General features: G+C 43.1%; 1 protein-coding gene across 1 annotated transcript in view, besides 1 other annotated feature; it reads right to left on the bottom strand.

Moving 5' to 3' along the window:
• BMP6 (bone morphogenetic protein 6) overlaps positions 1-13,807 on the bottom strand; it is a 155,630-nt gene that overhangs the window by 111,402 nt on the left and 30,421 nt on the right. The gene's annotated exons all lie outside the window — the stretch shown is intronic.
• Positions 5,578-6,777: an enhancer, noted in NCBI's record as "BRD4-independent group 4 enhancer chr6:7763783-7764982 (GRCh37/hg19 assembly coordinates)". NCBI's record gives its function as "activates an origin of replication core promoter dependent on BRD2, P300/CBP, MED14 and CDK7 cofactors, and independent of BRD4, by STARR-seq in HCT116 cells {active_cell/tissue: HCT116}" and the evidence as "EXISTENCE:reporter gene assay evidence [ECO:0000049][PMID:35650434]".

Here is a 13,807-nt window from a genome sequence, read left to right as displayed (position 1 = left end):
GTATTTAACAATGATGTAAGCTGTATTCACATCACTGAAGAAGCATTTAGATATCAATTCACTTGAAAGTATGTTCAACCGCTTAAAAACAGGATGTGGCTTATTTTCCCATTTTAAATAAATCTTACACTGTATCATTTAAAATGCTCCACTGCATTTTTTTAAAAAAGGAAAAAGGCAGTTTCCAAGCTCATTCTTGAAGTTTACAAGTGGTTATATAACCGTGATATCAAAACCTGACAAGCAGCATTTAAAAAGGGGGCGAGGGGAGGTGCAGGGGGGTGGTGTTGGAGGAGGGGACATAGGCAACCTCATCTGACTACATCCAAAGATGCTAAAATAGTAGTCTACTAAAATAATTATATATGATGACTAAGGGTTTTTGATGCAAGAATGACTCAACATTAGAAAATCTGTTTACACAAGTCACTGTTTTCAAGGATGCCTGTTGTCATTATGATCTATTTGACAAGGTTCTAGACAATGAAAAGACAAGTTAGGAATATTGGAAAGAAAAACTATCTGCATTTGCAGACATGCGGTAGGACTCAAAAATTCAAGATCAACCTCTTTACATCATAGATTGTCGTTTGACTTTTAAAAATAATTGTGAAATTACAATTTGCACATTGTAACAAGAATTGTTTTTCTAAATTGTTTCTTCCCCCTGAAATTCCAAAACCCTAAGGCAACTATCATAAGGGTTTTCCTATGCTTGATTTACGTGTGATCCTTCCAGTTAAGTCTTTCAAGTTTTAAATTCAAAGGCCAGAAAATGCTGAAAAACAAAAACACTGCAGAGGTCTTAACAAGGGCGTAAGGTCAAATACACCTGTGCAGAACTCGACCCCTACTCAATGCATCTGATGCAAAAGCCAGGCGATAGCAAACTCTGCTGCATGCTAGAATCACCTGGGGAGCTTTTTAAACATGCTGATGCCAAACTCCCACCCCCCCAGGCATCCTGATTTGGATGGGGTGTAACTTGGGCTTTTCAAAGCTCTCCAGGTGATTCCAACAAAGTTTGGGAGGCACTGGCTGAAACAATTCTCAGGTTGCTCATCATTTTGGTAAGTCTGGGCTCTGAAGAGCTGATCGGTGTAGTTCCACTTTGTCCTTCCCAACAGCTAGCTCAATTCCCCTACCTTTAGCCAGTCTCATTTAGAAATTACCTGGGACATTTGCAAAACTTTTTTGCTTTGGGTTTTGTTTTTCCTACCTGCAGTAGCATATTAACACGTCACATACTCAGTGAATGTGCTTAGTTTTGGGGAGAAGCGTATACTCCTTTTGAACTGTTGTATCTAGTCAGTAAAGCTGTTATGCAAGTTGACTGCAATATATCATTTCTGGCCCTGGAAGTAACAGCAATTGGTTAAGGTTCAGTCTCTGGCCTCCTGGTTTTATAGTTCATAAAGTGGTAGAAAAGGACACACGTAACTATAATATATGACAGATCATGGCAAGCTGTGATGAGTACAACAAGAAAGCCACAAAGTGTTAGGGGAATTCAAGAGAGGGAGAAATGTTCCTTTCCCGCTCAAAGTAATGATGCAGGATTGATTAAATCGGCACTCTTAGAAAGCTGTTGAAATAAAGAGGAACACCTTGCGTCCCTGTGCAGACTGGACAGAAGTGAGAAAAAGATGCCAGGCTGGGTGGAGCGACTTTTTTTCAGAGGAACCACTACAGTCAATAAGAACGGGGCAAAAATAAGAATGGTGAACACATATGTTGAGGACGCTGAGGTGAGGCCATTTCGAGGCTTGAGACCCATGCTCAGAAGCAGGTGGCAAATACCAGAAGACAGCCTTGGGACATAGAAGCAAAGAGACCAGAACCCATGGCCTGGAAACACCCAGAGGACCCCACTCTGCCCAGGGCAAAACAAAGACTCAAACTTACCAGAGCAGAAACCTCCAAAGGAACCAACGCCAGAGAAACCTTGAATCCTAAGTGGCGAATTGCTGGAGGCTCAGCGTGGACAAGACTGAGAGTGAAAAACTCCAGGGCGACCCAGTCATGGGAGGGGCATGCTTTCACAAGTTTTACTTCCAGGAGCTGGACCAGGTCCTCCAAGTGAATGTGGGAGAAAAATCCTTTCATACTTCACAGTGGGAGAGGAAAGGGAATGGTTTGCAATACACCAGAGCACTCCGTTCTTCTTAACAAGGCCTGCCCTCAGGAAAAACTAATAAACCAGAGCCAAAACCACCTGGAGGAAGGGACATGCGCACTTCCTGCCCGCTCTTGCCTCCCCAGGAAGAGAAGGAAAATACCTATCTCCAGCCATCCTGTCCCACCCAAGCGGGGAGAAAAAAACCTGAGACCCACTGAGCCCAGGGCACAGGGTCATTAAAGAAAAAAGCTGAGACCAGGGCACAGGCTCATTAGAGACCCAGACCTAATCATAGACCACAGAGGGCTTCCCCTCCACAACACCTTACCTCCACTTCACCAAAGGCCTAGCTACAGCAGTTCCTTTCACCTAGGATATCATGTCCAGCTCTCAACAAAAATTACAAGGCACACTAAGAGCAAAAAACACAAGAGACACAGCAAGCACCAAAAGCAGACTCAGACGTAGCAGGGCTGTTGGAATTATCAAATCAGGAAATTAAAATAAGTAGGACTAACTGCAGGTACAAAAGATTTGCCAACTGGTTCCTGGATAAGAAATTATCTCTGGCTTGAATGAGCTCACAGTATGAAAGCTTCACCCTAAGATAAATACAAAAAGTTACAGATTTGTATCTGGAGAAAAACAGCTGAGAACTAGGTTTCCTGAGAAGCTCGACGCTCCCCCCTCATAACCTACTGTATCCAAATCTCCGTGGTGGGGCTCAGACCTACACTTTACGAAGCATCTCAGGTGCTCTGATGATCATGCAGGGTGAGAATACTGCTCTATGCCAAAAGAAACTCAAAGAGACCAACCCAGAGACACACATTCTAACTGTACCAACAGAAATGAATGACCTCATTGGAAGATTGTTGCTATCTTTTATAAAAAGCACAATAAGCATAAAACATCTTTAAAAATTATACTATTCCGCCAGGCGCTGTGACTCATGCTTGTAATCCCAGCACTTTGGGAGGCCAAGGCGGGTGGATCACGAGGTCAGGAGATCGAGACCGCGGTGAAACCCCGTCTCTCCTAAAAATACAAAAAATTAGCCGGGTGTGGTGGCCGGCACCTGTAGTCCCAGCTACTCGGAGAGCTGAGGCAGGAGAATGGCGTGAACCCGGGAGGTGGAGCTTGCAGTGCACCGAGATCGCGCCACTGCACCCCAGCCTGGGTGACAGAGCGAGACTCCGTCTCAAAAAAAAAAAACAAACAAACTATCATTTAAAAAAATAAATAAATAAATAAAAAATAAAAATAAAAATTATACTATTCCATATCCATTTGATTTATACCTTACTGGGCCAATCCTAAGTGTCTGAAGGTATTTGATTCTTTTTGATTTTGTTTGACTTTTTTGAAATAGAGCAATAAATTCACCAATAGGATAGGAATGATAGCTAAAATGTCTTCACATGTACCATGAAGACATAGAAGATAGGCCTTCAAAATATATAACTGATTTTATTTAATGATGTAGGCTATTCTTTAAAACAAGTCTACACTTAGGAGCAAGGAAATTGTCTATGAATTACATACCTTCTAATTAGTGTTTTCTTTTTATTTATTTATTTTATTTTTTATGAGACAAGATCTCACTCTGATGCCCAGGCTGGAGTGCAGTGGCACGATCTTGGCTCACTGCAGCCTTGATCTTCCAGGTTCAAGTGATTCTCCTGCCTCAGCCTCCCAAGTAGCTAGGACTACAGGTGTGCACCACCACATCTGGTTAATTTTTTAAAAACATTTTTGTAGAGACAGGGTCCCACTATGTTGCCCAGGCTGGTTTTCAAACTCCTGGTCTCAAGCAATCCTTCCACTTCAGCCTCCCAAAATGTTGGGACTACAGGTGTAAGCCACCACACCCAGCCTAGTGATTTCTTATAATCCACTTTATTTAGCTCATTATTAGAGGTAGATTGCAAAGCCACTCAGAAAATCAGCAGACAAGATACAGTCCTCAACATTCATAGGATCTTTCTTCCATCTGCCAAATAAAAAACAAACAAAAAAAAACTGGAAGCACACACTAAATGCAGAAAGAATCTCCCCTTTAAAAACTGTGAGTCATTGTGAAGACATTAAGTTTATTGTGGCCGATGGAGAAAGGCCATTTCCCTGCCGCTCAAAAAAAGATGTCCTCATCCTGATCCCTGGAAGCTGTGAATATCTTCCAGGAATGCTTAAGGTAAGATTTTTGAGATGGAGAAAGGATCTGGATTATTCAGCTGGGCCCACAAAGGGAATGCAGGAGGCAGGAGAGTCAGAGAAGGAAATGTGGTGATGGAAGTGGGAGTAACGGAGAGAAATCTGAACTTGAAGGAGGGTATCACAAGCCAAGGAATGCAAGCGGTTACTAGGAACTGGAAACAGCGAGGAAATGGATTCTCCCCTAGAGCCTCCAGAAGGAACACGGCCCTGCCGGCACCTTGATCTTAATCCAGTGAGGCTCATGCCAGACCTCTGCTTTACACAGCTGTGAGAGAATAACCGTGGATTGTTGTAAGCCACTAGGTTTGTGGTAATTTGTGACAGCAGCCACAAGAAACATGCTTGCCGTCTACCAGCATGTGCTAAAAGAGCGTCAAGCCAATTAGTGATAGAGAAGCAGGAATCAGGGTGGTCCCTCCCCCTGGGAGATGATGCTGCTGACATGGCGAGAAATGTACCTTGGTTAATGTGTGTTTTTGATACACTTACGCATCCCTTATTAATATCAGGTGTGGTCACGGGGCAAGGTACCTAACTGCACCAAGCAAGGATTGACCTAGCTTTGTATTGTTTTGTTTTTGAGGGGAATCTTTTGTTCTTTACCTGTACTGCTGAGTTGGTCCAATTATTAGATTATTACATTATTACATTGTCCCTCCTACAATCCTGAGGCAGCAAATAAAATAATAAATGTGGTCAAACTGGGGTTTCCCCCTCTCTGGGAAACTAATTTAAACTTTTGGGGGAATAAATCCACAATCCTGGGCTCATCAGCATCCCTGCACCAGCCAACTCACCCAACCAATCAGAAGGCAGAAGTATCAACCAATCACTGGGAAACTCGAGGCCTACAAGTCTCGGGAATGGTCCATGCCTGGGCAGTGATTCACTCAAAACGACACTGCAAGTGGGAGCAGGGAGGAATACAACTGCAAAAAGCCAAAGTTCAAACTTTCGACCAGTCTCCCACTATCGAGAAAAAATTTGGCCAGGAAGTCAACGAATTACCTGCACAGAGTATTATGAAAATGTCTATTATATAAATGAAGGCATGAAGGGAAGCCTCAAGCCATCAACTGCCAAGCTAAGAAGATCTCCAGGCATAAAGTAAATCCCTCCTCGACCTCACTCCCCTACTCTCCCTTGGGCCTCGTCCTGCATCAGCTACTGCTGAGGGACCTGCACTTCCGGTAATAAAAATGTGAAGGGCAGCCGGACATGGGGGCGCATACCTGTAGTCCCAGCTACTCCAGAGGCTGAGATGGGAGGACGTCTTGAGTCCAAGAGTTTGAATCCGGCATGGGCAACATAGCGAGACCCTGCCCCTAAAAAAATTTTTTTAATAAAAAGAATTGGGGACTGGGAGGCAACCAAAAGCCAGAGGTCCATCATGGTGCAGAAATCTGACCTCCATATAACACCATCAGAACGAACATCTGATGTGCAAATGGCAGGTCCATCGCAGTAGCACGTTCTCTACACAATATAGATATTACCTAAGTTTTAGCTGTAGAGAGAGAAAAGAGACAGGAGTGAGGCCCAAAACTTCAGCTTAGCAGTAATTGATATAAATTAGCAATAACTGATATAAATACAAGCTGCTGGACCCGTGAGTTTCTAATGTCTTTTGCTCCAAGTTGCAGATTATTTTAAAATTAGTCGAGAAAAAGATACAAGTTCCCTTCCACCACCTCCAGAAAAAGGCAGCCAAGGTCTTGTATGTTAAACAAAGGTTTAATTTGAGGAAAGCAGATGAAATTTCAGAATCCTCTTCCCTCCCAATCTTCCCACACTCATCATTCTCCATGCTCCAACAGCCTCAGCTGAAAACACAGAATGGCCTCTCCTGGAATACGGAGGAGACACATGGTCCCGGCCCTGCTGCGCCTCGCCTGCTCCTCCCAAGCCCTGGAACAACTCTCCCCTGCTGCGCTCTCACTGGCAGGGCATGGCTGTTTTTTCACCATTTCTGAAGACGGATCCTTCACTCAACAGCTGTGTTTGTTTACAGACCTAGAAATGAACGCAGGACACATACGCTTGATCCAACGGAGTTTTTCTTTTGGCATTTTCCCCTCTAGACTACACAATATATTGGTCCTTGTAGTCCAATTATAACTTGCCATTGATGTGAGCCAAGAGGGTGGGCAGAGAGAAGGTCACCATGGAGGGCAAACTTGTATTATTTGCTCCACATTCTATAGATTTTTTTTTCTTTCCTTTTAGCAGGGCCAAGGACTGCACCTGCATTCACCATCTGAGCCTGCCATTTCCTTAAAATGGAGGGGCAGTGTCCCCACTTCTCAGAGGGGTCAGCCCAGTAAATAGTCCAGTGGAGTCCATCAGAGGTTCTGCCCAGCCATGATAGGACAAACCCGAATGTCAACACCCACAAACCACACTTTCATATCTGGCAAATTGTCCCCTGTAGCAAATAGCTTTTAGCATGAAACCCGCCAGCCTCTTTCTTTTTAATGGGTGTTTTAAAAGAATAAGGATAAAAGCCTAGGACATAAAAGGCGATGGGATGTTTTCTTGAAGTTTTTCTGTGTAGAAAAATACTTTTTCTTCTTGTTTTGTTTTTGGAGTCTTTTTATTCCCATAAGAGTGCCTCCCCACAACTTTGAAAATAAGAGGATCATCATTCTGTAAGAACACAGAATTTTACCATGACTTTTTACATGAATACTTACAGGCCTCTTGTTTCAAAGTAAAGGGGTATGTTGTGCTTTCATTTCTTTGAGTTCTCTTCCATACTATTCCTCCCCTGGGGTTGGCTGCAGACAGTGGAGGCTGAAAACACGGGAGAACTTTCTCCAAGTTCTAAACTCGCATCTGAGATGCATGCTTTGTACTTTAAAACACAGGTTTCTAAAAGCTAACCTATTTACCAAGACTTGCAGAATTCATAAGAGTATCTGCAAAGCAGAGTGTGGGGATGCAAAGGCGCATAGGAGTTTACAGGTCAGGTGGAGAGCTGGGCGCCTGCCGCACGGCCATGTTTTATGGGCTGTGGCTACATCTCACAGTCGTTAAAAGGTTTCTCCTCCAGACTCCCAGGATACCGTCATTGCAAAACGGACTTCAGCTGGCTGCACATCTGCGTCGCACGGCGGCTTAAACATCAAGCCAACTATTAAGATCCCCTCTAGCAACATACTCCTATCCCCTGGAGAAGAACTGCGAGAATATGGACAGAAAATCAATATGTTGATAAGACATATTATGGGCACTGGAAAAACACTTAAAATGCGTGGACACACACTCAGACATGCACATTGAGTTGCATCTTTTTATTTAATCAGAATATAAGGATTGTTACAGATGCAATTATGTTCAGAGCTAGAAAGAATATTTATTTAGTAAGCTGGGGATGAAGCTTATATTTCTATAGAATTTATGTGCCGTTTTACTCAGCTAGCACTTAGGACATATGTATATATGTTATATATTTGTATATTGTCCCTGATAATATCATAAACTCCAAGAGGGCAAGGCTGACTGCATAAAAGTTTGAATTCCCCCACGTCATGCCTTAGCAAAAGTCAGTGCCCAGGACTACTGCGAAAGACTATTAAAGCAAACCTTCAAGATCATTAAAGCAAACCTTCAAGATCATTAAAGCAGACCTTCAAGTGTCAACCCAGGATGTCACTGGCTGAATTTGGATGTGTCCTTTGAAAAATGACATATAATAACACTGCATTGACATTTGACCACTCACACCTTAATCAAGATACAACCCCTTCCTTTTAAGAAATCCAAGGTTGGCCAGGTGCAGTGGCTCAGACCTGTAATGCCAGCACTTTGGGAGGCTGAGGTAGGTGGATCATTTGAGGTCAGGAGTTCGAGACCAGCCTGGCCACCATGGTGAAACCCCATTTCTACTAAAAATACAAAAATTAGCCAGACATGGTGGCGGGCGCCTGTAATCCCAGCTACTCGGGAGGCTGAGGCAGGAGAATTGCTCGAGCTCAGAAAGTGGAGGTTGCAGTGAGCTGAGATCACGCCACTGCAGTGAGCTGAGATCACACCACTACACTCCAGCCTGGGCAACAGAGTCAGACTCCGTCTCAAAAAAAGAAAAGAAAAGAAATCCAAGGGGAGTAAGACACATTCCTTGTCCTCAAGGAAGTTACGGACAAGTGGGGGCAATGAGACAATAACAAATGACAAATGACAACTGAGCGATCAGAAAGTACAAAGAAAATGCCGTAAAGACTTTGAGGAAAGGGAGTCTCTAAGTCTACTCTGAAGATATCAATGAAGCCTTTTTGAAGGAGCCACCATTTGAGATGGGCCTTGAAGGTTGGCCAAGAGCAGGTAAAGAACAGCCAGTGTCAGCAGGTGCCTGAGATACTGACCAACACAGACAGGCAGTGCTGTGTCAGTGGCCATGTCTGCGTCTTGTGTTCCGGCCATTCCATCCTTCCATCCACCCCTGTTGGCTCCAGGGCTGCACTTGGTAATGCCCCAGCTGCACTGGAATTTCTCTATGCTATTAATTGATCACCCTGAGTCTATTACAGAATATTATGTGTCCTTCTCAATCTTACAAGAAGAGAAATGCACTTGGAATTCTATGTTAAAATAATATACTGTGCTCCTTCTGTCTACTGCCCAATTATATTCTGCTGGAACACTCTACTGGAAAACTTACTATCATAACCAGCCAAGTGCTGAAGGGCATAATGTTTTGATTGTCAAACAGGTTGTACATGATGCAAATATATGACTTAAGAAGTGATTTCACAAACATTTTGGTAACAGTAATCTGACTCATAAGCTCCAACAGAGTCTCATAAAACAGCTGTGTGTATAAGTAATCCAAAGATAGTCTTGGAGAAATGTGACATAGAAAAGCATAAAATAAGAGAAGAAAGCTTGAATCTTGAAGAGGATATTGTATCGCATTGTAACGATAATGCCGAATATAAGGCAAAGGCCAAACTGACCCTCGTTCAACTAATATGTGCTATTGCCATTCAGATCTGCTGGAGTTGTTAATCCAGGGAGAAAGAACAATGTCCGTAATGGCTTATATTTTACAAAATTAACTGGAGACTTTCTACTCACTAATTACAGCACGAGGTGAAGAAAACTCATTTTGGAGGCTCCGCATAACAGCACTTATTTCAAAGAGACGTTTTTGATGCATTCAAAACTTTACTTTAACTTTTATTCACCAGACATCTACTTTCACATGTTAAAACACTACGGTCCAGCCAGGCACGGTGGCTCACGCCTGTAATCCCCGCACTTTGGGAGGCTAAGGCAGGCAGATCACCTGAGGTCAGAAGTTTGAGACCAGCCTGGCTAACATGGTGAAACCCCATCTCTACTAAAAATACAAAAATTAGCTGGGTGTGGTGGCAGGCGTCTGTAATCCCAGCTACTTGGGAGGCTGAGGCAGGGAGAATTGCTGGAACCCGGGAGGTGAAGGTTGCAGAGAGCTGAGACTGCACCACTGCACTCCAGCCTGGGTGACAGAGTAAGACTCTGTCTCAAAGAAACAAATAAATAAATAAATAAGTAAAACTATGGTCCAAGAGAGCTAAACTACTTGCCCAAAGTCACCCAGAGCAGCAAAGTCAAGGTGGAAAGACGGTGTTCCTTGCTCTACTCTGATATAAAGTAAATAATTACTTTAATTCACATGCAGACTGACAAAGGTATTTAGGAAAAGGAACAAATAAATTATAATTTCACAGTTCCTGTTTTAATTTCACTAGTCTATCATACCACCTCAAAAAATATACTTGAAGGTCAGGTACACTGGCTCATTCCTATAATCCCAGCAATTTGGGAGACTGGGGTGGGAGGATTACTTGAAGCCAGGAGTTCGAGGCTGCAGTAAGCTATAATCGCTGTACTCCAGCCTGGGTGACAGAGCGAGATCTTGTATCTAAAAAAAAAAAAAAAAAAAAAGTTGAAAAATAAAAATTAAGATGTGAAATTCTGCTTTCTTAGATAAAATTAAGAAAGAGGCCAGGTGTAGTGGCTCACACCTGTAATCCCAGCACTTTGGGAGGCCAAGGTAGGCAGATCACCTGAGGTCAGGAGTTCTGAGACTAGCCTGGCCAATGTGGTGAAACCCCATCTCTACTAAAAATACAAAAATTAGCCAGGCATGGTGGCTGGCACCTGTAATCCCAGCTACTTGGGAGGCTAAGGCAGGAGAACTGCTTGAACCTGGGAGGCAGAGGCCGCAGTGAGTTGAGATTGTGCCACCGCACTCCAGCCTGGGCAACAGAGTGAGATTCAGTCTCCAAAAAAAAAAAAAAAAAAAAAAAAGAAGAAGAAAGAAATTAGTCTTTAAAATTCACTTCTTTTTTTTAAATTCTTTTATTTCACTCAAGCTTTTAAAATCTGATTTGTTTAGTCTCATGTGTTCATTACTTAAAACTCAAAGCAGGTTCAAGGCAAGAGTTTAGGGTTATAAGGGCCTTAAAGAGCATGTGTTTTGCTGATGAGGCAAAACTAGGGTCTGGAAAGGTTAAGTGAATCGAAGGTCACCAGGGCATTCATGTCAGAACCAGGACTAGAACCAAAGTGTTCTGGATTTCAGCAGCTGAGTGGTGGCCGAGGACCTCAAGGGGAAAAAAGCTGAGTTCTAACTTTCAACAACATTGCTTGCATTTTTTATCTACTCATGTGCACAGACGTCCCCTCCACGTGGAACTGCTCAAGGAACCATTTGGCCAGATTCTGTGGCAATGTATGACCTTCCTGGGGACACCACGTTCCTGGTAAGATTGATGATATTACTAGTATCAAGCATACATACATACATATATGGTAATGAGGAACTTAACGGATATGAAACTTCAAGAATCATCTCCTGATTCATTGAATGTCAAATCCCAAGACAGCGGCAAGATATTCTTTAAGGGAAGCCTTCCTTATACCATCTAACCATTCAGGAGATAATTCAATGGCTGTCCTGAGCAGACACTGTGCTGGACATTGAAGATATAAACAAGAATAAGACAGTCTCTGCTCTTAGGAGCTCTTGGTCTAGTGGGCAGCACAGATGAGTAAATAGACCACTCATGTTAGTCTTACACGAGGACCTCTATTCTACCATGGCTGCACCGACTCCCCTCCAACCACAAATGCATCCGTGGACAAGGGAGCACACAGAGAAGGGGACAGTGGCTGCACCTCATGTGCGTGTGAGCATGTGGAAGGGGGTGGAGAGAGGGTGAAGGGGTTTGTGGTTGGGTCAGAGAAAAGACTGGATGCCAGAATTGCGAGGCACAGCCGGACCCAAGGGCTGCGTTTTTCTTCGGTGTCAGGCTTGGCAAGCCGCCTTCTATGACTGATCCTCTAAGGCATCTTAAAGCTTCACCCTTTAGCCACTGCCACCACAGCTATTCAAAAGAAGTCAAAATTAACACTCAAATACCACAAGGCACTGTAGGGAAGAGAGGGGTTTTGTTGATCTTGTTTTAAATAGGCTTGGTTGCAAACCGTAGTTGTTGGTATGGCAATTTTCCAAACACAAATCTAGTCAGGTCCTGCAAGGACCCAACAGAAACCCAGATGGATTTCTTTGTCTTGAAAAAAAATGCCTGGTGGTGAGTTGTGAGCCAAAACTCACTGAATCTATTCCTGATTCTGCCAGTTATTTCTGACCTTGGTGACCATCATCATCTCTTTATCCAGCTCCTTGCCTGGATAGCTGGGAGATCACTTGTCTAAGTCTGGTGGCTACTCAATCTGCGAATTCACATTCTCAGTACGAATTCACAAAGATGCTGGGGCCCGTATGGACTGTCATCTTTCCAGAAAGAAGCTGGACTATAACATAAGGCAATATGCAAAACGTTTGCGGAAAATGTTATGTTTGATTGGCATCTTCCCCATGCAGGGGCATTCTTCTCTACTAGCAAGAGTAATCTACTATAATTCTGTTTCTCATCTGCAGAACTTTGATATGGAAAATGAGCCACTTCTAGGGCAGTGCATCACAAAGGAAACTTGTGAAGATAATTAGAGGCAAGATTCTGAAATAGACAAACTTTCAGAGTGGGCATTTTAGCAGGGTGAGAGAGTGATGATGAACAGTTATGACTGAAGCTACGAAGGGCATTCAGTGGCACACAAGATGGAATTTTCTCACTGCCCTGAAGTTCAGGAATAGACAGGGAACCTGCAAGGAAATGGGCATTCCTGATCTATGAAGATGAAGCTGTGGATACATTGTATAATTATGAAAGAACACTCACAGATTACCAGGTAGGGTGCAGAGACGTAGGGAGAGCAGTCTGGAAATGATGCAGGCAGCATATCTGAAACTAGTCTTATCTCAGCATAAAGAATTTCCTTATCAAGGGATCAAAGCAACTTTGGGACTCACAGTTGCCATAGGTACTAGGTTGAATAGTGTCCCCCCAAAATTCACGTCCTTCCCAGAACCTCAGAATGTGACATTATTTGGAAATAGCATCCTTGTTGATATAATTAAGATGAGGTCATACTGGAGTAGGGTGGGCCCTTAATCCAATCTGACTAATGTCCTCATAAGGGAAGAAAAAGAGACACATAAGCAGGCATAGGGAGAATGTCCTATGATGGCCGAGGTAGAGATGGAAGTGATGCTTCTACAAGACAAGGATTGCCAGCAACACCAGAAGCTCAGAGAAAGGCATGAACAAAATCCTTCCTAGAGTCTTCAGGGGGAGCACTGCCTGCTGACACCTTGGTTTCAGACTTCTAGCCTCCTGAACTATGAGAGAATAAACTTTGTTGTTTAAAGTCATCCACTTGTGGCGGATTTAGGAAACTAACACACTATGCTATGTATTTTACAAATGGAAGGATACTTATATGTTTACGTGGCAGCCCAGGGAGAGGGCTACCAAATAGGGTCCAACAATCTCATTGAGTTTAGAAGACAGAGATTGGAGTTTGGGAAGGCCAAGGCATCTAAATTTTCAGGGCTAAATACTGGAAAAGAGAGTGCTACATAGAGAGAGCGCTCCAAAGATCTACAGAGGGGTCTTCTCTAACCTTTGGCTGAGTTCTGAACTGCTTGTGTACAAAGAAAACCTCCAAGGCAAGGAAAGAACTATGGGAAAGCAGCAGGAAAAAAAATTACCAGTTTACACAAGGCTGGGGAAAGTTTGCGTGCTGGAGAACCAGAATGTAGTCACCTCATAATATATGGAGTATTAGGTAGAGTTCTTAAAAGAATGTGTCTTAGGAGGGGATAAATTAATCCTAAAATAAAGGCCTGTCTGAATCCACCATAACAAAGCTTGAAAGCAAAGTTCAAAAGGATCAAATTGATCTGCAAGTTACTTCGTTGCACAGAAGAATAAAATCTAACTTTTTAAAAAGGAATATAACAAAATCCAGCACACAGCATCTTTGCGTGCTCACTTTTTAAAAAGGAATATAACAAAATCCAGCACACAGCATCTTTGCATGCTCAAAAATTAGTGAGCATTTGAAGATGTAGGAAAA

This window comes from Homo sapiens, chromosome 6 (assembly GCF_000001405.40).
Source record: "Homo sapiens chromosome 6, GRCh38.p14 Primary Assembly".
NCBI lineage: Eukaryota > Metazoa > Chordata > Mammalia > Primates > Hominidae > Homo > Homo sapiens.
Note: the sequence above shows the minus strand (reverse complement) of the source record. Positions and strands in the feature narration are given on the sequence as shown.